At 43.4% G+C, this 24,478-nt stretch overlaps 1 protein-coding gene, 1 long non-coding RNA gene and 1 other non-coding gene across 4 annotated transcripts; 1 reads left to right on the top strand and 2 right to left on the bottom strand.

The window, feature by feature from the left end:
* Positions 1 to 7,220: 7,220 nt before the first annotated feature.
* Positions 7,221 to 9,811, bottom strand: LOC107986281 (uncharacterized). Its single transcript, XR_001741691.2, has 2 exons — positions 9,355 to 9,811; positions 7,221 to 8,744 (listed from the first exon to the last, which is right to left on the bottom strand). It is a non-coding gene; the product is annotated as an uncharacterized LOC107986281 (long non-coding RNA).
* ERVMER34-1 (endogenous retrovirus group MER34 member 1, envelope) lies at positions 9,353 to 18,225 on the top strand. 2 transcript variants are annotated; one of them, NM_024534.6, is made up of 4 exons: positions 9,353 to 9,435; positions 9,709 to 9,848; positions 9,949 to 10,068; positions 14,835 to 18,225. In NM_024534.6, the coding sequence occupies exon 4, from the start codon at positions 15,258 to 15,260 to the stop codon at positions 16,947 to 16,949; it is 1,692 nt and encodes a 563-aa protein (NP_078810.1). In that variant the 5' UTR covers positions 9,353 to 9,435; positions 9,709 to 9,848; positions 9,949 to 10,068; positions 14,835 to 15,257; the 3' UTR covers positions 16,950 to 18,225. The 2 variants fall into 2 exon arrangements, with proteins under 2 accessions (NP_078810.1, NP_001229619.1); NM_001242690.2 differs by lacking the exon at positions 9,949 to 10,068.
* LOC124900185 (small nucleolar RNA SNORA26) lies at positions 12,519 to 12,641 on the bottom strand. Its single transcript, XR_007058532.1, has one exon. It is a non-coding gene; the product is annotated as a small nucleolar RNA SNORA26 (small nucleolar RNA).
* Positions 18,226 to 24,478: the final 6,253 nt, after the last annotated feature.

Here is a 24,478-nt window from a genome sequence, read left to right as displayed (position 1 = left end):
ACATTTGGACCATTTAGTACATTTAAAACTCATGCCATATCATTTGACACTTCAGAGTAAAAATTTTGTGAAATGACTTTGTTCAAGATCAACATAGCTACCATTTTGAGCATCTACTCATATTAGGCACCTTAAATACGTACTGGAACTGAATTCTAACAATATTATTATGCTCATTTTCTTTATGAAGAACCTGAGATAATGTAAGTTGCTTTAGGACATATAGCTAATAAATGACAGAGCCAGGATTCAAAGCTGAGCCTGTCCAGCTCCAAAACCTCAGGCTCAGTCCCACGCGCTCGGCAGTCGGACGCATCCTGATTCCCTCCCACTCCAACTGTACTAAAGCAAGTTCTTTTGTTGCCACTTTGATGCATTCATTTTCAGCTAAACAAGTTTTTAAATAGACTTCGTTAATGGATGTCAATGCTTCTGTTCTAGAACTATTTTTCCCTTCAAGACACCCGGGAACATTTCAAAGTCACAACTGAGCAATAACAAATTATGTTTTCCTGAACAAATTTCTAATCATAAAATGATTGTGGATGTTAGTGTTTACATCCTGGCTGTGAGCAGTAGTGCAGGAAAACATCAAAGTTTTTTCGGTAACAAAGAATCACCTCTGATCTTCACTTCAAAGACAACCAGGAAAAAAAATTCTTCCCAGCAACATGTGTGAGATTAATGTCAATCAGGCTTTTCCCTCAACTTGTCTATACAAGTACATGCTTTTTAATAATCAGAGCTTGTTAGGAAACCATAAACCTCCTCCAAAATGGCAGTAAAAATACCTACAGCACACACACACAATTTTTTCCTATGCATTATAAACAAATTTTAGTTGATATATTTTTCCCCACTTAACCCTGTTCCCCAAGACTAATTTTAAAAGAGTGCCAATAAGGCCCCATCACAAAGATGTACAAATGCTGTTTCTAAGCCCAGTAACCTAAACACTTAACATTTTCTCTAATGTGTGTAGAACTTTCCTTCCTCCTCAGAGCCCATGTCTACCTATCCATTTTCTCCCAGAAGCACAAAGCCTTCTGGTCTTGTTCTAGGACTTATTCAGGATTCTCAATTTCACCTTTATAAATAGATGCTCTTTGGGACATGGCAACCGGAGGAAGGCAGCTTTGCTCCTGGAACCCTTCCCAGCCTGGTTTGATGCCTCATCTCTGTCCCCCATAGTGCCCAGTGCTACCTTGACCTTATCACTTATTGTACAATCATCACCTGTGAGTTAGGACCATGTTTTGATCATCTTTGTATCCCTAGCACATAGCCCACTACCCAATACACAGTTGGTGCTCCCAAGTACCTGTTGTCTGATTAAGAGCATGAATGGATGTGCAGATCACCCTTCACCCATATGGCTAAAAGCGAGAGTCTTCAGGAGTCTGGGAAGAAAGAGAGAGAACAATTGGGAAACAGGTCAACTAGAGCAAGGATGGGCAGTTGGAATATGTGACATTAGAAGGTCCAAGAAGTCAGGCAGCATATTTAGCAGAAAGGGGCTTATTAAACACGGGCTAAAGGTGAAGTGAATGACAAGATGACAGCCATTATGGGACACAGGCTGGAGCTTCAGACCCCAGAGAGCAGAAAGCTATATCATTTTCTTTGCTGCCTGTCCAGGATGGACTCTAACGTTTTTAACTATTTGCACCTGGAAACCTTGGTTGAGAACCTGTATCTATGTGTGTACATGAGATCCAGGCTAATGTGGTAGTGCCCTCTTTCATGTGATAAATGCTTAAAAGCTTTCTCAGTACTGCACACCCATGGCCTCCATGATGGATCTGTCCCAAAATTAGCTTGGTAAGACTCCCAGGCTGAATCAGTAAGTAACCCACCATGCTACTAGAATCTGATTAAGGGCATTATAGAATATTTTACAGTGATTTTTAAACACTTTTGGGTGGGCACAGAGGCTCATGCCTGTCATCCCAATACTTTGGGAGGCCAAGGGTAGATCACCTGAGGTCAGGAGTTCGAGACCAGCCTGGCCAACATGGTGAAACCCCGTCTCTACTAAAAATACAAAATTAGCCAGCTGTGGTGGCGTATGCCTGTTGTCCCAGCTACTCAGGAGCCTGAGGCAGCAGAATAGCTTGAACCCAGGAAGCAGAGATTGCAGTGAGCCAAGATCTCACCATTGCACTCCAGCCTGGGCAACAAGAGTAAAACTCTGTCTCAAAAATAAATAAATAAAACATTTTCAGTTTATCCCTGAATGTAATAATTCATTCAATCAACAAATATTTGTTAAGTTTCAAATATTTGTTAGCTACTGTGCTATAATAGTAGGAAAGGTCCAATGTAAAAACATGACACTTTTTCCATTCATTCTGCATGTCCACAGCCACTGTCGTCAAGGGTACAGAAGAATGTGAGCAAAAGCAAAAAAACAGAATATTTATTAAGTCCAATTTCATCTGAATATCAGCCTATACGAAGAGGGCAATTTCTCCTGTAAGTTACTGAAATGAGGTGATAGTTGATTTGGGGGAATTTTATGAATAGATGTTGTCTTCATTCTTTACGTAAAATCCATCCTGGAGTCCACATAATGAACATTAATAACAGCTTGGCCAGAAGCACCAAGTATGTAGAATGGGCTCAGTTGCAGAAAACAGAATTCACACTACCCAGGTGCAGTGGCTCACGCCCATAATCCCAGCACTTTGGGAGGCACAGGTGGGAGGATGGCTTGAGTCCAGGAGTTCGATGCCTGGGGAATATAGCAAGACCCCATCTCTACAAAAAAATTCAAAAAGTAGCCAAGCATGGTGGTGCACACCTGTAGTCTCAGCTACTTGGAAGACTAAGTGGGAAGGATCTCCTGAGCCCAGGAGGTCGAGGCTGCAGTGAGTCACGATTGTGCCACTACACTCTAGCCTGGATGACAGGGAAAGACTTCATCTTAAGGAAACAAACAAACAAACAAAAAGACTTCCATAGATATGCATAAAAAATATGCAAAAAAAAATTTTTTTTAATTTACACTAGCTCTTGCAGGTCAGCAATCTCAGAGGCCTGGAGGCAGGGAGAGTCTGCCATTCCCTGTTCAGTTACTTCTTGAAACTCACCAATCAGAGAAAATGCTCCTCCTTCCCTGGGGAAGAGTGAGAGAAGGAGCCGAGGCAAGCCAGGCACATTATTCTACTGCAAATTTCTCCACTTGGAATTTCTGAGTGAGAAGTTGAGCGCTTCCCACTAACCAGTTCAATATTTTGAAGTAGTTGATTTCCTTCCCTGTGATTCCGACCTGGACTCTGTCTTTCAAAAACAAGCACAATCACAATGTGTGTCTCACCCAATTGCTGAAATAAGGACTGAGCTCTCCTACAGTAGTATAGGACAGTAAGAGTCACCTAGGATGGATAAAAGTATCGTTGACTAGCTGGAAATCTGTGTAATCACGAAGTTTAAGAATGTTTCTCATTTCATGTACATCATCAATCCCAGACCCTCAGCATCAATGCTAGGTTTCTTTTTTTTTTGGAGACAGGGTCTCATTCAGTTGCCCAGGCTGGAGTGCAGTGGTATGATCTCAGCTCACTGCAACTTCTGCCTCCCAGGCTCAAAAAGCAATCCTGCCACCTCAGCCTCCTGAGTAGCTGGGACTCCAGGCGTGCACCACCACACGAGGCTAATTTTTTGTATTTTTTGTAGAGATGGGGTTTTGCCATGTTACCCTCGCTTCCTTGTACAACTTGCACTCCAAGTAATGAGCCAGGATCCAGGTGTTCTTACAGGTATGCTGTAAACATCTGATTTTGCCATTCCTCAGGTTCGTAGCTCAGAACACTGAACAAATATTCACCAAGGAACATAGGGTAATTCTTAGGGTCTGCTTGAGTTACTGCTATCTGGTCTCAAACTCCTGAGCTCAAGAGATCTACTCACCTTGGCCTCCCAAAGTGCTGGGATTACAGGCCTGAGCCACCACGCCCAGCCCAGTACGGGGACTGATAGATCTCAGAGTTATCAAGAGTCATTCTAAAGTGTATTACCCTATACAGTGGCACATGACTGTAGTCCCAGCTAGGCTGAAACAGGAGGATTGCTTGAGCCCCATCGTTTTGGATCCCCAGGCTGGCAAGCTGGGAGGGTACAGTCGCCGAGAGGCTAATAAAAAAGATCCGGAGACAGCAGGCAAGACATGGAGTTTTATTCCGGGGGCTTACATACCGGGCATCCAGGAGTGGCATGCTGGACAGGAAAACCACTGCTATTTTGTGAATAACATGTAAGTTATAAAGGTATTTTCGTTTGGCAGCCTCTACTTAGTAGCCTCTACTCCGCTCAAAACAAAGGCCTTCGCTTCCTTGTATGACTTGTGTTCCAAGGAACGAGTCAGGGTCCTGGTGTTCTTACAGGTATGGTGTAAACATCTGATTTAGCCATTCCTGGGGTCCATACCTCAGAACACTGAACAAACATTCACCAAGAAACATAGGGTAATTCGCAGGGTCTGCTCGAGTTACTGCTATCTGGCAAGACATGCCCACCATCCAAGCGCAGGAGTTCAGGGCTGTAGCGTGCTATGATCATGCCTGTGAATAGCCACTGCACTCTAGCCTGGGAAACATAGCAAGGCTCTGTCTCTAAATAAAATAAAATAAAAACTAACAAATTACAAACTTCTCAACAGGCTTGCCATATTAATTCCCATGGACATACCAATTTACTTTTGAAATTATCTTTTCCAGCAAACCAGCCTCGTTCAACATAAGCTTTAATAACATATTTCAGATACTCTTACTAATCTTACCGAAAATAAATAGATTTCCAAAAAAAAAAAAAAGATCTCCATTTATAAGAACACTTTCACTTCCTTCTTTACTGTTTTGTTAGTACTTGAAATATTTATCTTATTCTCCTTTTGTTTAAACTTGGAACTGGAATTTTAAAGTGGAGCTCATAACCTACATATTCCACATTTGAAAGTTTTAGCCTTATTGGAAAAAACCAGCAGATGTTCATTTCTCATGAAAATATGGCAACAAGAATGCATTTGCAGTTACAAAATAGGGAAAGCCATTTGTGGTACTCATTAATCCTGCTACTCCTGTGAAAAAAGCTAAAAACATTGCCTGCATTTTGCAGATTGAAAAAAAGTAACAGGTTCCATCTTGCTCTAGGTATAAGAGCAAAGCCTTTGGTAGAGCCAGAAATAGAACCTCAAGAGATTTGTGTTCCCTTTTTGATACAGAACAGAACTCAACTCAGCAGCCTCATTAAAATCATGCTACAGAAGAAGCTGGTCTGTCTCTTCACTCAATTTTCTTTAATAGAGTTCAATCATTTATTTCAGCTCTACTTTCAACTGAGTGCCTTATGCTAATTAGTCTGACCATACTGTATAAATTATTACTTTAATTTATATAGTGATTTCATAGAATACATTGGATGCTAAGCATAATGGATAATATGTAATCATTTTAAGGAACTTTTTTTAAAGAAAAAGCACTATTTAAAATCCATATCATCAAATCCTACAGGAGAGGAAGCTGTATTATTTAGGTTCAGCAGGTCAACATGCATCTTCCAATATGACTGCCTTAATATAATTCTGTATTTTAAAGCATTCCAAATTAAGACCCACAATTTTTTAAAGAAAAGCACCTTCAAAGTTACAGAAATTGAGAATTCCATGCTGCCATGGAATTCTGTGTCTACCGTCTTGCCATTGCAGCTGTAATTTCAATTTTCTAAATTTGTGTTTGTGCACACATGTGCAACTGTTAGAGTGGCATTTGAGTCACGAGCTACTACACTGATTAGATGTGCTCAGAACTCCTAATATGTTTACTAACCATCTACACTATTGGACTGGGAATAGACTAGATCTCAAAAAAAAAAAAAAGCAATATGTGGATCCTCAAGGGCAAAATGAAGATTTTTTAAAAAATTTTTAGAGGTCAGGTGTGGTGACTCACCCCTGTAATCCCAGCACTTTGGGAGGCTGAGGCGGGTGGATCATGAAGTCAGGAGTTCGAGACCAGCCTGACCAACATGGTGAAACCTTGTCTCTACTAAAAATACAAAAATTATCCAGGCATGGTGATGCGCACCTGTAATCCCAGCTACTCAGGAGGCTGAGGCTGGAGAATCGCTTAAACCCGGGAGGAGGAGGTTGCAGTGAGCAGACATTACAGCACTGCTCTCCAGCCTGGGCAACAGAGCGAGACTCCGTCTCAAAAAAAAAAAAAAAAAAATTTAGAGATGGGATCTTGCTCTGTCACCGAGGCATGCAGTGGTACTATCATAGCTCACTGCCTCTCACCTCAGCGTCCTGAGTAGCTGAGACTACAGGCACATGCCACCACAATAGGCTAATTTTTCTCAGGCTGGTCTTGAACTCCTGGCCTCAAGTGATCCTCCTACATCGGTCTCCCAAACACTGAAATTACTGGTATGTGCCACCACACTCTGCCTAAAATGAGGAATTTAATCTTGCCTATTGGGTACAGTAGCTGGAAAAATTAAATGAGATAATCTATACAGAGCAGTTAAAGGAGTGCAAAGAATGAAATAAGTGTGCAATAATGGTTAGCTATTATTAGCTGTGAACATGCTGGCCTGAACACATGCTGGTCTTGCAAACATCAACTTTTATTGACATGCATTTATACAACACATTATTAATGAGCATCATTTATGGACATTTTAAACATGGTCTACAAAGTCCAGCATGGTCTGGCAGTCACCAGCATCTCCAGCCACATCCCCTCTGTAGCCCAGATTATATCATGCCTTATCCTATATCTCTCTCCACCCCACCTCACCCCTTGGCTTTTTGTGTAGAAAGTCATGGCAGCCTTTCTACATGTCCATGGATACAGTGAGCTCCTTCCTAGAGCACACACACTGTACATCCTCTTTCCTCTACCTATACCCCAAGCTCCACTCTTTTGCTTTATAAAATGATCTTCAATTTTGTGCTTAATCATCCTTCCCTCAAACTGACAGCTAGGTCCCTGACACCACCACTCCAGCTCTTAAGTGGTAATTTTACATTTATACAGGATTCGTGTATCAATGCCTGTTCCATATACTATACTAAAAGTTCCACAAGGGCAAGGTCCTTGATTTGGGGTTTTATTCACTATTTTCTCTCAGGTCTACTACAGTGCTTGACTATGGTAGGTTCTCATTAGTTTTATAAATGAATAAACATAACCCAACAACAAGGCTATTGCTCCCAAGAATTGAGTATATCTTTCATTTTATTTCACAATCACTATTCTCCTCATCTCTGGCCTTACTCAATCTTACAGTGAAAAACATAGACACTGTACTAGGTAAAAGTAGCTTGGGGTAAAATAAAATGTGAATTTAATAGGTAGAGAAAGGGAGAAGGAGAAAAAGTCAAGTTACTTAAACATAGAAATGGGTTGGTGACCAGTGTTATGAATGTAAAAGTGTCTAAAGACATATGCAGAAAGGATTCTTCTAAGAGTATTGCTTTCTTTTGCGTAGTTGAGAATAATGTTATTTCAGTGGATGGATATGTTCATCACACTGTAATGCATGTAAAAACAACGTGTAAAGAAACATCAATAAAAGGACATCTCAAAGAGTGCTACTTGGAAAAAAAAAGAAAAAAGAAAAAGATATGGGGTAGTGAGTCAACATTAGCAAGGGGTAGTATAAACAGTGTTTAAACCCATGTCTTGAGCCAGGCAAAAGAGCAAGTGACAGAGAGAGGACCTCAATGAAGAAAGAGGAGACAAAAAATAATGGCCTGGGGAGAGCTTAGACCCGTGGGGCTGGCAGAGCCCAGACCAGAGGCGTGGGAGCCGCGCTGCTGGTGCTGGGGGTGCTCCAGCCGGCAGAACAGTGGGAAGGGAAAAGCAGTGGGCCCATTTAGAGGTTGAAAGAGGCAGGGACTGAGAAGCTCCAGGGTTTGAGGACCACTCCCCCATCCATACAACAGTTAGTATCCCAACTGCGGACCATATGTCCCACGCCCCAGAGCGATGGCCCTTGTGGTTTTTTTTTTGTTTGTTTGTTTGTTTGTTTGTTTTTGAGACAGAGTTTGGCTCTTGTTGCCCGCTGGAGTGCAATAGCGCAGTCTCGGTTCACCGCAACCTCTGCCTCAAGCGATTTTCCTGCTTCAGCCTCCCAAGTAGCTGGCATTACAGGCATGCGCCACTATAACCGGTTAATTGTGTATTTTTAGTATAGACGGGGTTTCTCCATGTTGGTCAGGCTGGTCTCGAACTCCCGATCTCAGATGATCTGCCCGCCTCGGCCTCCCAAAGTGCTGGGATTACAGGAGTGAGCCACCGCGCCCGGCCGCCCCTTGTCTCTTTAGGTCTCTTCTGCTTTATCAAACATGGACACAAAAAGGGTGCTCCTCAGGCGTACAGGCGCCGCCAACCAGCCACTGCTTCTGGTAAAGAGTCTTTCATCGCATTTAGTCATTTCTACAGTAAAACGTATTTTCCAAAGAGTACAGAACACCAGTCATGATGAGTTTTGTTTCTTTGTTTCTTAGAATCAGGGGTTTCATTCGTCCACAGAGAAAGATGATTTCCTATTTTTGTATTTTCAAGTTGTAACACATGTTTTTTCCCTTAGCTCTTATAACGTTAATATTTTTATATTTCATTATGGGTTTTTATTCTTCATTAAAAATGTCAGTCCAAGGGAGGCCTTTGTTTCGTCCATTTAAGGATTAGAAGATTGCCTGGCACAGAGTACACACCTGATGAAGGCGTGCTGAATACCTAAGTGAATAAAAACGCGGCATAAATAGCAGCTCAGGGCTCTAGGCGGTCGCGTGACTGAGAGCCTAGGCGCCAAGGGGAGGAGAGGGTAATCGCGAAGTCTCCCCAGGGGAGAAACCGAGGGGCTGAGAGAACCAGATCGACGAGGGCCAAGGCCCAGCAGGATGCCTGAAGAAGCCGATTCTCCTGCCCAGGGTACCTGAGGTTCGAAGGATGCTTCGTGCAGGCTCGCCTTGTGTCTCACCCGCCAGACCTAGGAAGCCAGACCTAGGCAGGCAGTGGACACAGGTGGCCAATGGCTGGGCCCGTCCAGCCCCCGTCCTGCCCTCGTCCCGAAGTTTCCTGGGATTGGCTGCCTGCCCCGCGGCCCTCCTCCCAGCCCCGCCCTCGCCCAGAGTCTTCCCTGCGCCGAAAGCGCAGGTATGTTCCTAGTCTTGAGCGGGAGAAAATCACCCAGCTCGGAGCACCTGGCCAGTGGGACCGGTGGGTTCCTGGTGCCTGAATCCGGCTGTCCGCTCTGCGGTGCCCCGCCCCGCCCCAACCCAGGATCTTCCCAGCCCCGCTCCGCCCCAACCCAGGATCTTCCCAGCCCTCGTGTGTCCCCGCTCACTTCAGTTCCCGCCGCGAGCCTTCTTCTTGGTCTTCTGGCCTGGCGGCGATCGTCGGCCAGTTTATCCCTCGGAGTTGCACTGTGAGTGCGTTTCTGCCCTTTGGTCTCCGGCGGGGAGGGCTCCCAGGCAGGGTCTGGGCTCGCCCCGTGTCCCCTCGAGCTTTGCCCGCCCCGAGCTCCTCTGCTGCCCGCGGCCAGAACGGAGGGGTAAAGCAGCCCTCGGCGGCCCAGGGGGCGGACGGCCGTGCCCGTCCCAGGGCCGCGCGAGGCACAGGCGCTGCGTCCTGCGGAGCCGCTGGGAGAATCCCGGGGCAGGTCCCGGCGCGGTAACAAGTTTGCGCTTTGCCTCCCTAGGGCAGACACGCCGCTACTTTGTAGCGGGTTTCGGGCGGGCCACGCGTGCGGCGACAGGAACCCAACCCCGGCCGACCTTGGGCTCCAGGAATTCGTTGTCTACGTCTGCGGAGGTGCGGCAGCCTCAGTTTTAAGCGCAGGTATGTTCCTACCCTTGAGCGGGAGGAAATTACCCAGCCCTGAGCACGTGGCCAGTGGGACCGGAGGGTTCCTGGTGTCTGAATCCTGCTCGCTTAACAGGAAGGCAATAGAGGCTGTGCTCTGAACCTTTCCCTCACGATGATCTTCTGCCTGTTGACCATCCTGGTGTCTTTCCCATGTGGCCCTGTATGGTTGGCATGGTTCCTGTCTTTAGGACTTGTGAGTATAACGCTTTATTTTTTCCTGAGCTTCTCCTATGTCTCCCCTTTGTGAGCACAGTGGCCAAAGAAGTCCATTTGGTCCCATGTCTAATCCATCGCATAACTGCTTGGCCCCCTTTGGTAGCCATGTCTGTTTTAGGTTGTGGGGCATTTGCCCGACAATGAACGTGAGTCAGAGATAAGAGGAGGGTCGCAAGCTGGGTGGAGGAGAGACAGGGAGTCCATTTTTGCCTGCCCATTTAGCAGCTTTCTCAGCCCTACAATTCCATAAAGATACTCTATCAGTTTCCTAAGTGTTGCGCAATGAACAATAATAATTTATGTAGGAAAATAAATAGACTGTAATAGGATAACAATTATATGCCCATTGGTGATGGGAGTATATGCTGAGGTCGAGAATCTATGGGGGGGTAGGGCGCAGTGGCTCACTCCGGTGATCCCATCACTTTGGGAGGCCGAGGTGGGCGGATTGCCTGAGGTCAGGAGTTCGAGACCTACCTGGCCAACATGGTGAAACCCCATCTCTACTAAAAATTCAAAAATTAGCCAGGCGTGGTGGTGCATGCCTGTAATTCCAGCTAGCCGGGAGGCTGAGGCAGGAGAATTGCTTGAACCTGGGATGTAGAGGTTGTGGTGAGCGGAGATCGCACCACTGCACTCCAGCCCGAGCAACAGAGTGAGATTCCATCTCAATTAATAATAATAATAAGAAGAATTCCGTCTCAAATCATCATCATCATCATCTATGGGGTTTCCAAACTGCCAAGGACATGGCAGAGTCCCAGGGTATACCTAGTCAGTGTAAGTAGTGTACGTTTTCTCTTTCACCAGTGTACAAGCTCACTATGTCATAGCTGGTTATTATCTTTCTGAGAATTTTGTTTATAAGAGTTGTCACAGGATAGAGTAAGTCTGTTTTTGTTTGTTTGTTTAAGACAGAGCCTCGCTCTGTTGCCCAGGCTGCCATCTCGGCTCACTGCAACCTCCACCTCCTGGGTTCAAGTGATCCCCCGAGTAGCTGGGAAGACATGCACAAGCCACCACGCTGGCTAATTTTTGTATTTTTTAGTAGAGATGGGATTTCACCATGTTGGCCAGGCTGGTCTCAAACTCCTGACGTCAGGTGATCTGCCCTACCTCGGCCTCCCAAAGTGCTGGGATTACAGGTGTGAGCCACCACACCCGGCCCAGAGTAAGTGTGGATGGCTCAAGGAGTATCTTAAGAGGTCTTCTTGTGGTTTAGAAGCCAACTCTGTGACTGTAAGGCAATCATGTGATGTGGAGTGGGGTTCTCCATCAGGGAGAGGTACAGGTTTAGAGCATTACAGAGTTGCAAGATGAGGAGGGGTTGGTCTGTCAAGTAGAAAGGCACTCTTTTATGGAACTGTAAGAGTTGACACAGAATGGGAAACAAAGGTAAATAAGAGAACCTATTGTAAGGTTAATGGCTTTGTCAATTAGGATGGCAGCTGAGGTCACTACATAGGCATAGGAGCATGCCTGATACCACGGGATCCAACTGACATGAAAAATATGCTATGAGGCCGGGCATGGTGGCTCACACCTATAATACTAGCACTTTGGGATGCCAAGATGAGAGGATCACTTGAGCTTAGAAGTTTGAGACCACCCTGGGCAACATGGCCAGACCTTGTCCCTATTAAAAATAATTTTTTTTAAAAAAGGAAGCCAGGTATGGTGGTGCATGCCTGTAGTCCCAGCTACAGGGGAGACTGAGGTGGGAGGATCTCTTGAGCCCAGGTGTTCGATGCTGCAGTGAGCCATGCTTGCACCACTGCATTCCAGCTTGGGCAACAGAGTGAGACCCTGTTTCTAAGGAAAAAAAAGAAAAAAAAATATGCTATGCAACTTACCTGAGAGGAAGAAAGTTGTCCTAGAATACCTACAGCTATCTCATTGTTTTCACAGCAATATACACGGAAAGGCTTGTCAAAACTGAGTAAATAAAAACAGGTGTGTGGGGTGGTTAATGCTAATTTCAATATCTCAGTGAAGGTTTCTGTGGTTATGCCTGGGAGAGCATGTAGAGGTTAGGCAAAGGCAGCACAACTGGGAATCCATTGGTAGCAACAGCCAGCTGCTAAGTGTGCACACCTGCCTTCGAGATCAGGAGGAACGCAAGTGACGCAAGGCCTTTGCGGGTGAGTTTGAGTAACTTGAGACATTCCATGGCCTAAGTAGGTAACAGTTCAAATGTCCGTACCCATTGAAATCTGGTTCTGGGAGGCATTATGACCAGAGTCAGCCAGTCTTCAGATGTTCTCAGGTGAAAGCAGTCTATACTATTCTGCTGGGCCATTACTGCTTACAGTGTCAAATACCAACACTTGGTTTTTATGCACTGTCAAAGCTAAGGTTAAGTTTGAATGCATCATATGTGATATGCAAAAATATCACAAATGTGCTTAAACTGTAAGGAATTTGTTCAGCTGTGACTCCAGACAGGAGTCTAGCTCCTCCAAAGAGGAGCTTTACATTCTCTTCTCTGGGTTTTATGGAGACTTACTTAACCCTTCTGCTTAATGCACTGTGTCAACCTTAAAAGGGGCACAAGAAAGGGTGATTTAAGATTTTTTTTTTTTACAGGGTTTGCTACTACTCCCTGCACTGCTCCCTGGTCCACAGCTCATGAATCTTAGTTTCTTTTTTGAGATGGAGTTTCCCTCTTGTTGCCCAGGCTGGAGTGCAATGGCACAATCTCAGCTCACTGCAACCTCCACCTCCCAGGTTCATGCCATTCTCCTGCCTCAGCCTCCCGAGTAGCTGGGATTACAGGCATATGCCGCCACGCCTGGCTAATTTTATATTTTTAGTAGAGATGGGATTTCTCCATGTTGGTCAGGCTGGTCTCGACCTCCCAACCTCAGGTGATCCGCCCGCCTTGGCTTCCCAAAGTGTTGGGATTACAGGCATGAGCCACTGTGCCCGGCTGCATCTCAGTTTCTTTAAGTCTGCAATCCCCATTAGAAGCAGCTGTTTTGCTAAGTGAGCCCATGGGTGTCAATTGCCTTTCTGTTAAGAGAGCCAGATTCGGGCCTTGGTGACAAATGCACCAAGGAACCCTCCAGTCCCACTGGTCATGCGCTTGTGGCCTGGGTCATTTCATTTCACTCAAGGCCAGGGATGTATATGTTAACCTCCATGGGAAAGAAGAGGCAGGGCAGGGTGAACAGCTTAGGATTGGCTAGTTTGAATAATTTCAATGGATTTCAAATTGTAGAGGTTGTCCCCTAGTTGCATAGCACTTGGCCCTGGGATGATTAAGGCAGACAAATAATTGCTTACATGTGTGTAAGGGCCAGATAGAGGAGGTATGGCTCTGGATTGATTAGTTTGTATATCAAAGACATGCTCCTGGTTGGCCCCTTGTTATCTCTGAGAATTGGCTAGTCCCTAAGAAAGGTAGTCTCTCCTCAGCTGGAAAGGTTTTTTGTTTGTTTGTTTTTGGTTTTGTTTTTTAGACAGAGTCTCACTCTGTCACCCAGCCTGGAGTGCAGTGGCGTGATCTTGGGTCACTGGAATCTCCACCTCCTGGGTTCAAGCGATTCTCCTCCCTCAGTCTCCCGAGTAGCTGGGACCACAGGCGCACACCACCATGCCCAGCTAATTTTTATATTTTTAGTAGAGGTGGGGTTTTGCTGTGTTGGCCAGGCTGTTCTTGAACCCCTGGCCTCAAGTGATCCATCCGTCTCAGCCTCCCAAAGTGCTGGGATTACAGGTGTGTCCCACCGTGCCCGGCCCTCAGCTGGAAAGGTTTTCCAAACGTCAGAACATAATTAGTATACAGAAAATTTTAAGGTATTTACATATGTGTGAATAGGATGATCAAAAGAGCCAAAAAGAGCCAAAAGACAGTTGGCTCTTGGCATCCATAGCATTTCTGATCAAATTATTTCCCAGTGCAGTACTTGTAAATCTCACCAAGACTCTAGAGATGGTAAGCATACTGCAAAGAGTCTTCCAAGACCCACACTGCCTTTTATGGTACTCTAAATGGACTTTATAGATTTGTCTCCAGCCTTAGACTGTTCTCACTGCATGTTTAATGGATGGACTGTGCTATCCAACTAGATGTGCTAAGGCCATAACAGTGGAAAAGAAACTAACAACTGAGATTATTTCTTGTTTTGGCATTCCTTTATGAATTGAATCAGATAAAGGAACTCACTTTACGCAGAATTAAATCAGTTACTTGCAAAACTCTTGGATATTCATTAAAATTGTATACCCCCTACTATACTCAATCCTCAAGGCAAGTGAAACATAAAAATCTAAACATAAAATGAACTCTAGGAAAAAATCTGTCAATAAACTGGACTCAGACGGCCAGAAGCATTACCCTTGGTCCTTATAAAGATCTGGAATACTGACCGGTATGGTGGCTCATGGCTGTAATCCCAATACTTTGGGAGGCTGAGACAGGATGATCAGTTGAGGCCAGGGGTTCCAGACCAGCCTGGGCAACAAAGTGCGACCTCCATCGCTACAAAAAATAAGAAACAAACAAAAAAGGTCTGGAATACTCCAAATAGGAGGACTGACTGCTTTTGAAATAGTTTTTGGCTACTCTGTGCCTACTGGCATCTCTAAAACTTTCATAGATTGAATGTGCATTGTGAGGACTTCAGTGAACAATTCAAAACTGTGACTAATTATATACAATAATTAGTATACTTGGAGCATATTTTCAACAGGTAAAAATGTGTGGCTTTCACTAACAGACCCTGCCATCTTTTCAACCAGGTGATCAAGTATATCTGAAAGTTTTTAGAAGAAAAGATGTGTTGTAACCTCCCTGGAAAAAGAAGAGACCTTATGAAGTACTGCTAACCACCTACATAGTCATCAAAATAAAATTCCTGAATTTGTACAAGCCACAGGAAGCTAGATTGAGATCATTATATGACAACTGGAAGGCCAAGGCTATGGGTTACCTCAAATTGAGGAATTTTGGCACCTACTCACAGGCTCCATGAGCAGATGAAGTAGACAGCTTTACTCAGTATCTCAGACCAAGAACTTCATCTCCATCTCCAACTAGCTGAAACATCTTCCCTCCTCAACCTGGAAAATTCTCTGACTTAGAAATTTAAACAAAACCCTCCCCTTTCATTGAATCTCCATTGTCTGGAGTTTGCTTGTTTTAATCTAGCCTGTTCCTCCACTATGGGCTCCCTTTCAAACTATGCCCTGCTTCAACTAACCCTTACTGCTTTTTTGACAATTCTAGTACAACCTCAGCACCTGCTTGCTCCAGTTTTCCGGACACTATCTATCTTGACTAATCAGTCTAATTGCTGGTTATGTGAACATCTAGATAATGCAGAACAACCCGAACTAGTTTTTGTTCCTGCCAGTGCAAGCACCTGGTGGACCTATTCTGGACAATGGATGTATGAAAGGGTGTGGTATCCACAAGCAGAAGTACAGAATCACTCTACTTCCTCCTATCGTAAAGTGACTTGGCACTGGGAAGCCTCCATGGAAGCTCAAGGTCTATCCTTTGCTCAAGTAAGGTTATTGGAGGGAAATTTTTCTCTTTGCGTAGAAAATAAAAATGGCAGTGGACCCTTCCTAGGTAATATACCTAAACAATACTGTAATCAAATACTATGGTTTGATTCTACAGATGGCACCTTCATGCCCTCTATAGATGTTACAAATGAATCCAGGAACGATGATGATGATACAAGTGTTTGCCTAGGCACTAGACAATGTTCCTGGTTTGCAGGTTGCACAAACCGGACCTGGAACAGCTCAGCTGTTCCCTTGATTGGTCTGCCCAATACCCAAGACTACAAATGGGTAGATCGAAATTCTGGATTGACCTGGTCAGGTAATGACACCTGTCTCTATAGCTGCCAAAACCAAACCAAAGGCCTTCTGTACCAGCTATTTCGCAACCTATTTTGCTCTTATGGCCTGACAGAGGCACATGGGAAATGGAGATGTGCAGATGCCAGCATAACTAATGACAAAGGTCATGATGGACACCGGACCCCCACCTGGTGGCTCACAGGTTCCAATCTGACCTTGTCTGTGAACAACTCTGGCCTCTTTTTTTTGTGCGGCAATGGGGTGTACAAAGGGTTTCCACCTAAATGGTCTGGGCGATGTGGACTTGGGTATCTTGTACCTTCCCTCACCAGATACCTCACCTTAAATGCTAGCCAAATTACAAACCTGAGATCCTTCATTCATAAAGTAACACCGCATAGATGCACCCAAGGAGACACAGACAATCCACCTCTGTATTGCAACCCCAAGGACAATTCAACAATAAGGGCCCTTTTTCCAAGTTTGGGAACTTATGATTTAGAAAAGGCAATTCTAAACATTTCCAAAGCAATGGAACAGGAATTCAGTGCCACTAAGCAGACCTTGGAAGCACACCAATCAAAAGTTAGCAGTTTAGCCTCTGCATCCCGAAAGGATCATGTCTTGGATATACCGACCACCCAACGACAAACGGCTTGTGGAACTGTTGGCAAACAGTGTTGCCTCTATATAAATTATTCGGAAGAAATAAAGTCTAATATACAGCGTCTCCACGAAGCATCCGAGAACCTGAAGAATGTACCGTTACTTGATTGGCAAGGCATATTTGCAAAAGTGGGAGACTGGTTCAGATCATGGGGCTATGTGCTTTTAATTGTTCTTTTCTGCTTATTCATCTTTGTTTTAATCTATGTTCGTGTCTTTCGCAAATCTCGCAGATCCCTTAACTCCCAACCTCTGAACCTAGCCTTATCTCCACAGCAATCAGCACAGCTCCTTGTCAGTGAAACTTCATGTCAAGTTTCAAATAGGGCAATGAAGGGACTAACAACCCATCAATATGACACAAGTCTACTTTGAGAATATCTGAACAAACAGCAGCTGCAGACAAAAAGCCTTAGCTAAACTTTGATGAGTAAAGCAGGTCTTACCGAGAATTCAGCTGCCAAAACCCTCCTCTGAGTGTTCCTCTTATAAGGGCACTTAGCACTAGGACCTCCCAAGGTATTGTAAATAAGCCTTATCAGAACTTTTTGTAGTTTCATTCTGAAGCCTTAAGACACACACCATAAAGCTGATCTGTAAACCCTTACCCCTTGCTGTTCAGAGAGCTACTCTTTGTAGTGTTCTTGCATGCATATATAATAAATGTTTTTTCTATTGATCTGTTAATTTGCAAGCCCCCAAACACTGGAACTAAGTTGGGGGCAGGATAGTTTCTCCCAACAGCACTTTGTAGGCTTCTGGATAGACCAAAGAGTGTGTTTGAATAGATAAGGGAATTTTGTTCCCTTGATTTTGGTTGAAGGTAGAAGAATCCAATGTACACATACACAAAACTATGTCCTTAAATTTGTCTCAAAGAATAAATATTGGGTAGTCATCAGAATTGACTGAAAACTTACTTTAGGGAGAAAGCCACAAATAATTTAGGCTGGTATGATCTGAGCTTTCCTGATTTCCCATGGGCATTTTAGTGGTCTAATGGAATATTAGTCTGATATGCATTTTAGCCATCTTATGAAATGGGCCGCAGGTGGAAGTAGGATGCAGGGAGTGTTGAGGTGGCATCTATTATATCAAATGCTTCACTCTGCCCAGTCCTCTGGTGAGTTCCTTACATGCATCTTTCTAGTTAATCCTCTCGGTGTTCATATTTTACAGATTAATCAACTCAAAGGGTAGATAGCTTGCTAAAGATTATACTATTACTGAAAAATAGCAAGATGCAGAACAGCATACCTAGTATGTTACTCTTTTTTTTTTTTTTTTGAGGCAGAGTCTGGCCCTTTCACCCAGGCTGGAGTGCAGTGGCTCAATCTCGGCTCACTGCAACCTCTGCCCCCTTGGGTTCATGCCATTCTCCTGCCTCCCTCCTGAGTAGCTGGGACTACAGGCGCCTGCCACCACGCCTGACTAATTTTTTGTGTTTTTAGTAGAGACGGGGTTTCACCGTGTTAGCCAGGATGGTCTCAGTCTCCTGACCTCATGACCCGCCCACCTCAACCTCCCAAAGTCCTAGGATTATAGGTGTGAGCCACTGCACCCAGCCTCGTATGTTACTTTTTATTTTAAAAAAGGGGAAATGATATGTATATGTGTATGTATTTGCAAATAAAACAGGAAAAGCCATTCACAATTGAAAGTGATTCACATGTAAGAGGAATGGACTGTGAGATTCTCACCTCCTTTTTAAGGTTGCACATAAACAAATTTATGAACATAGCAGATTGATAATTTATTAACAGAATAATCATTTCAAGTTACATTAAGAAAACATGGATGGCTGGGCACGGTGGCTCACGCCTGTAATCCCAGCACTTTGGGAGGCCAAGGTGGGCAGATCACGAGGTCAAGAGATCAAGACCATCCTGGCCAACATGGTGAAACCCCATCTCTACCAAAAGTACAAAAATTAGCTGGGCATGGTGGCAGGCACCTGTAGTCCCAGCCACTCAGGAGGCTGAGGCAGGAGGATCGCTTGAACCCAGGAAGCGGAGGTTGCGGTGAGCTGAGATCGCACCACTGTATTCCAGCCTGGCAACAGAGTGAGATTCTGTGGCAAAAAAAAAAAAAAAAAAAAAAAAAAGCACAGACTGGGTGTGGTGGCTCATGCCTGTAATTCCAGCACTTTGCGAGGCTGAGGCAGGTGGATCGCTTGAGCCCAGAAGTTGGAAATCAGCCTGGGCAACCTGGTGAAACCCTGTCTCTACAAAAAATTAGCCAGGTGTGGTGGCATGTGCCTATAGTCCGAGCTACCCAGGAGGCTGAGGTGGGAGCATCACTTGAGGCTGGGAGGTCGAGGCTGCTGTGAGCCAAGATTGTGCCACTGCACTCCAGCCTGGGTGATGGGGTGAGCTTCTGTCTCAAAAAGATAAAGAAAAGAAAACTCATACTCTGGAACAATAGAACCCTTATAGATGGGTTTGTTGTTCATAGTAATGTTGATATCAAAAGAAGGTAGGCTGGGTGCAGTGGCTTATGCCTGTAATCCCAGCACTATGGGAAGCCAAGGCAGGCAGATGACCTGAGGTCAGGAGTTGGAGACCAGCCTGACCAACGAGGAGAAACCCCATCTCTACTAAAAAAAAAAAAAAAAAAAAAATACAAAATTAGCCAGGCCTGGTGGTGCATGTCTGTAATCCCAGCTACTCGGGAGGCTGAGGCAAGAGAATCACTTGAACCCACTAGGCGGAGATTGTGGTGAGCCAAGATCATGCCATTGCACTCCAGCCTAGGCAACAAGAGCGAAACTCTGTTTCAAAAAAAAACCCCAAAAAGCACAAAACACACACACACACACACACAAAAGAAGGTAATAAAAACTTTCAGCAATATAGGACACAAGAGAAAGCCTCCTTGAGCTGAAAGATATAGGACTTCCTGTGTTTGTTATGCAATATGCATTGAAACTAGAGAAGCCATTAAAAGAAATGCAACTTTCAGTATTGGGTATTTGTGGTACTTGGTTTTCTTTCTTTCTTTCTTTCTTTCTTTCTTTCTTTCTTTCTTTCTTTCTTTCTTTCTTTCTTTCCTTTCCTTTCCTTTCTTTCTCTCTCTCTCTCTTTCTTTCTTTCCTTACTTTCTTTCTTTCTCTCTCTCTTTCTCTCTTTCTCTCATTCCTTCTTTCTTTCTTTCCTTTTTTTTTGACGGAGTTTCACTCATGTTGCCCAGGCTGGAGTGCAGTGGCACAATCTCAGCTCATCGCAACCTCTGCCTGCTGGGTTCAAGTGATCCTCCTGCCTCAGCCTCCTGAGTAGCAGGGATTACAGGCACGCACCACCATGCCCACCTAATTTTTTGTATTTTTAGTACAGACAGGGTTTCTCCATGCTGGTCAGGCTGGTCTCGAACTCCCAACCTCAGGTGATCCGCCCGCCTTGGCCTCCCAAAGTGCTGGGATTACAGGTGTGAGCCACCGCACCTGGCCTGGTCCTCATTTCACAATGTCAAGTACGAATACAAAGTGAAGAGGAAATATGAAATAAAGGGGCAGTCATTGGAATGTTAGAAAATGTCTTATTAAAAGGATAAAGTTTCATCAAATAGCATGACTGATTATGAGGTGTGTTAAGCTGCACAATATTTGATTAAAGTAAGGTTTGTAGGGCATGACAAGTTATAGAAAATAGTTTCAACATTACTGGTGATGGACACAAAGGTATTTCTGATTTTCAAAACTCATAGGGGAAAAAAATCCTCTTTCCATTGTTATGCATCAGAAGGAACACAAAATAGGTTGGTTGGCAAAAACATTTATTAGCCAGCTCAAAGGTTCACCAGATGTTTCACCTTCCTATTTCCTGATACATTTATTAATTAGAAGCTTACTTAAGGAAAATTGTTATCCAATATTTTTTATCAGTGTGGACTCATGGATATATACATTGTTCTTTGGGTTGTAATCCAGTACTATCATACTGTTGCTCAAAGTGTTGCAGCTTTGGCCTTTGAGAGCTCTTGGAAAATTTGTTCCTGTTTCCTTTTGACATGCCTCTCCCTATGTGTTTTTTGTTTGTTTGGCCTTATTTTTTTTTTTTCAGCACTTCCTTACTCTCCAGCGCTCCAATATGCTGCAAGCTCATCTTTTATTTTTCCTGCCCAGCCCTAGAATCAGTGATTTTTTTTTCCCAAGAAACCATTGTTCCCTGTACTGAAAAATGGTTTTAGAAACCAAGATCTGGGCACAAGATGTGCTCATTGCTACTGCTACTAGGTTATCACTGTGTAGGCCCCCTCAGTGGACACAGCTAGGAAATGTTTGTATGTATACACAGATACCTATACATATATACCTACAGTTTATTGAAATAAACGAGTTTATACTGATATCTCCAACTCTCAGCACCACAGGATTCATTCTAGCCTCACCTTACCCCTTGCTTATTTGTAACTTTTCTGTTGCTGAGAAACCTGTCTCCTATTAGCTAAGATTTATTTGCTTATTTGTTAAACTCTACTATATGTGTAAACTAGTTACATAACATAGTTACATAATTGCTAACCTGTCCCTTTATGAGAAACAAAGTAACCAATTAGAATACAGCGTTTGCTTTTTTGTCTTTGGCTTTGCAGTATTCAGTCAAGACATCGTTTTCAAAAGTTAAATCGTCTCCTCAATTTATATATAGGTATATACACATATGTGTATATATATTCACTTCTTTAAAAGTTAACCCATCATTATTGGCATCTAGAGAATCTACATACAAAGTACAAGCAACAAGAAAATGCTAAATTCACTTAAATCATGAAAAGTAATTGGGCTAGGCTCCTCATACAATTCTAATGATAGTTACACAGATGGACTACTGAAGAACAAATACTTTTTATTCTTTTGATTGTTATCTATGACTTTATACAAGATATATGTTTTTTAATTTCTCCACAGAAAGCTTCAGAAGATGAGTATTTAAATGTAGCCATCTTAACCAGCAATCAGTACTACCACAAGGAATATTTCAGGGGTGGCAACAACCCTGTGATAATCCTGCAGCATGGGTCGATTTGCTTTCAAAACCTAGAGGTGTACAAAGTCAAAGGTGAAGAAAATGTGCATTTGCTGTTAAGAAAATATTATGATATACAGTAATTACAACTGTGAGGGAATATATGCAATAAAAATAATTGTTTGGGAGGAAATGTGGATGATTTTTTTTTCTGTTTTCCAAACGAAAGCCTTAGGACATAACACTTTTTGAGTGAGATCTTTGTGGTGACATAATAATTCTATATCTGAGTTGTGATGGTTCCATGAATTTACACATGACAAAATGACACAGAATGATGTAATATTGGCACACACAGCTCAATGTCAATTTTCTAGTTTTGTTTTTGTGCTATAGTGACTTCCACTTGGGAGAATTTGGGTGAAGGCTACGTGGAATCTCTCTGCACTGTTTTTTTTTAAATATATAATTCAGAGTAAAAAGCTTTAAAAAGTAATAGTATTTTACATCCTCAAATTAAACAGATGTGTAAATATATACATATATAGTTTATGTATGTTAAACCTAGTTGCCTTTTTTAATGAGTTTTTTTTCTGTATTAAACTATCCTTCAGAAAGGTTGAAGCAAATGTACCATGTATAATAGGATATTTAAAATTTCATTTTCATTGGCAGAGTAATTTCACAGGAAATGTATCTTAAGGAAATACTCTGCCCTTTCATACCTTCTGTCTTCCTAATAATTTCTACAAAGATATTCAAAAAACCCTTTTGCCAAATAAATGGTCTATAAACTTCTTAACACATCGTGCAGTGCCAGTCTTAATGGTTGGCCACTCCCTCTTTCCAAACACCTTCCCTGAATCACAGTGTGATGCTTAATTTTTGTGTCAACTTTACTGGGCTACAGAGCACCTAGATATTTGATTAAACAGTATTCTGAGTGTTTCTGTAGAAGTGTTTTGGGACGAAATTAACACTTAAATGGGAATACCGAGTAAAGCAGATTTATCTGCCTAATGTGAGTGGGCCTTATCCAATCAGCTGAAGGCCTAAAGAGAATAAGAGGGCTGACCCTCCCCTGAGGAAGAGAATTCTTCCTGCTTGACTGCCTGTGAATTTGACCTTTCCCCCTTGCCTTCAGCTCTTTCTGGGTCTCAAGCCTACCAGCCCTTAAACAGGAACTACACAATTGGCTCTCTTGAGTCTCCAGCAATGATTCCCAAATCTGTATCTCAAACCTGGATTTCACTACTCAACTCCAAACTCATGTCTCTTTGTACTTATCTGTCATCTCCCCTTGGATGCTGAAGAGGCATCTCAACCTTAGCATGAACAAACTTCACTTTCAGCTCCCTCCCCCAGACTTATTCTTCAGTTTTCCTTATCTCAATGAATAATGACACTATTCCACCCAGTTGCTCATGCCAAAACTCAGGTGGTCTTTCACTATTCCTTTCTTTCCCTTTTTTCCAACACATCCAATCAACCAGCAAGCTCCTTCAACTCAATTTCCACAACACAGTCAGAATAATCTATCAGCATTACCCCACTTTAAACCACCACTTCCTCTAGCCACTTCGGAAACCTACTGTGTTTAATCTTATCCCCCTAAAAATCTATTCTTTGTGCTTTAGGCAAATGCGGACTTTAGAAAACATAACCAGTATCACTTGGCCAGGCGCAGTGGCTCATGCCTGTAATCCCAGCATTTTGGGAGGCCAAGGTGGGCGGATCACTTGAGGTCAGGAGTTGAAGACCAGCCTGGCCAACATGGAGAAACCCCGACTCTACAAAAAAATACAAAAATGAGGGCCAGACATGTGACTCATGCCTGTAATCCCAGCAATTTGGGAGGCCAGGGGGGGTGGATCACAAGGTCAGGAGATCAAGACAATCCTGGCTAACACAGTGAAACCTGTCTCTACTAAAAATACAAAAAATTAGCTGGGTGTGGTGGCACACACCTGTAGTCCCAGCTACTCAGGAGGCTGAGGCAGGAGAATTGTTTGAACCCGTGAGGCGGAGGTTGCAGTGAGCCGAGATCGTGCCACTGCACTCCAGCCTGGGTGACAGAGTGAGACCCAGTCAAAAAAAAAAAGAAAGAAAGAAGAAAAAGAAAGAAAAGAAGAAAACATAACCAGTATCACATAACTTCCTATATGAAAAGTCTTCAAGGGCTTATCATTGAAGAATAGATCCAAACTCTTTACACAGCCCATAAACCCATATATGATCAGATACTTCGATTTCCCATGTTTGTTCTTATCTTGAGACTTTTGTTATAGCTGTTCCTCTGCCTGGAATACTTCCCCTGTGTCCATCTTCACATGGCTTGAGTTATTGTCACTAAGGTCTCAGTTTAAATATTACCTTTGGGAGGCTTCCCAATCTGAAGAAATACTGTAGTCCCTTAATGGCATGGTGCATTACCTGGTATTTTATCTTTCCTCTCTAGAATAAATGAGGGATGCAGGTACTATAGCCATCAGACAGCATAGCATTAAAAGAAAGTAGGAACTTTTGAGTGGGAATAAAATTGGTCCTTTCATAATCTTTATTTTTATCAAGTTGAATGATTTCTTAATTTTCACTTATTCATCCATTCGTTCAAAAAATATTAATTGGCCAGGCACAGTGGCTCATGCCTGTAATCCCAGCATTTTGGAGGCCGAGGTGGGTGGATCACCTGAGGTCAGGAGTTCAAGACCAGCATGGCCAACATGATGAAACCCCGTCTCTACTAAAAATACAAAAATTAGTTGGGTGTGGTGGTGGGTGCCTGTAATCCCAACTACTCGGGAGGCTGAGGTGAGAGAATCGCTTGAACCCTGGAGGAGGTTGCAGTGAGCCGAGATTGCACCATTGCACTCCAGCCTGGGCAACAAGAGTGTAACTCCATCTAAAAAACACACTATATATATATGTGTGTGTGTGTAT

The sequence above is a fragment of the Homo sapiens genome, chromosome 4 (assembly GCF_000001405.40).
Source record: "Homo sapiens chromosome 4, GRCh38.p14 Primary Assembly".
NCBI lineage: Eukaryota > Metazoa > Chordata > Mammalia > Primates > Hominidae > Homo > Homo sapiens.
This window is presented reverse-complemented; position numbering and strand designations above follow the sequence as displayed.

Excerpts from the sequence above, each read along its gene's own strand:
- ERVMER34-1 (NM_001242690.2), top strand. The coding sequence starts at position 15,258 with ATGGGCTCCCTTTCAAACTATGCCCTGCTTCAACTAACCCTTACTGCT.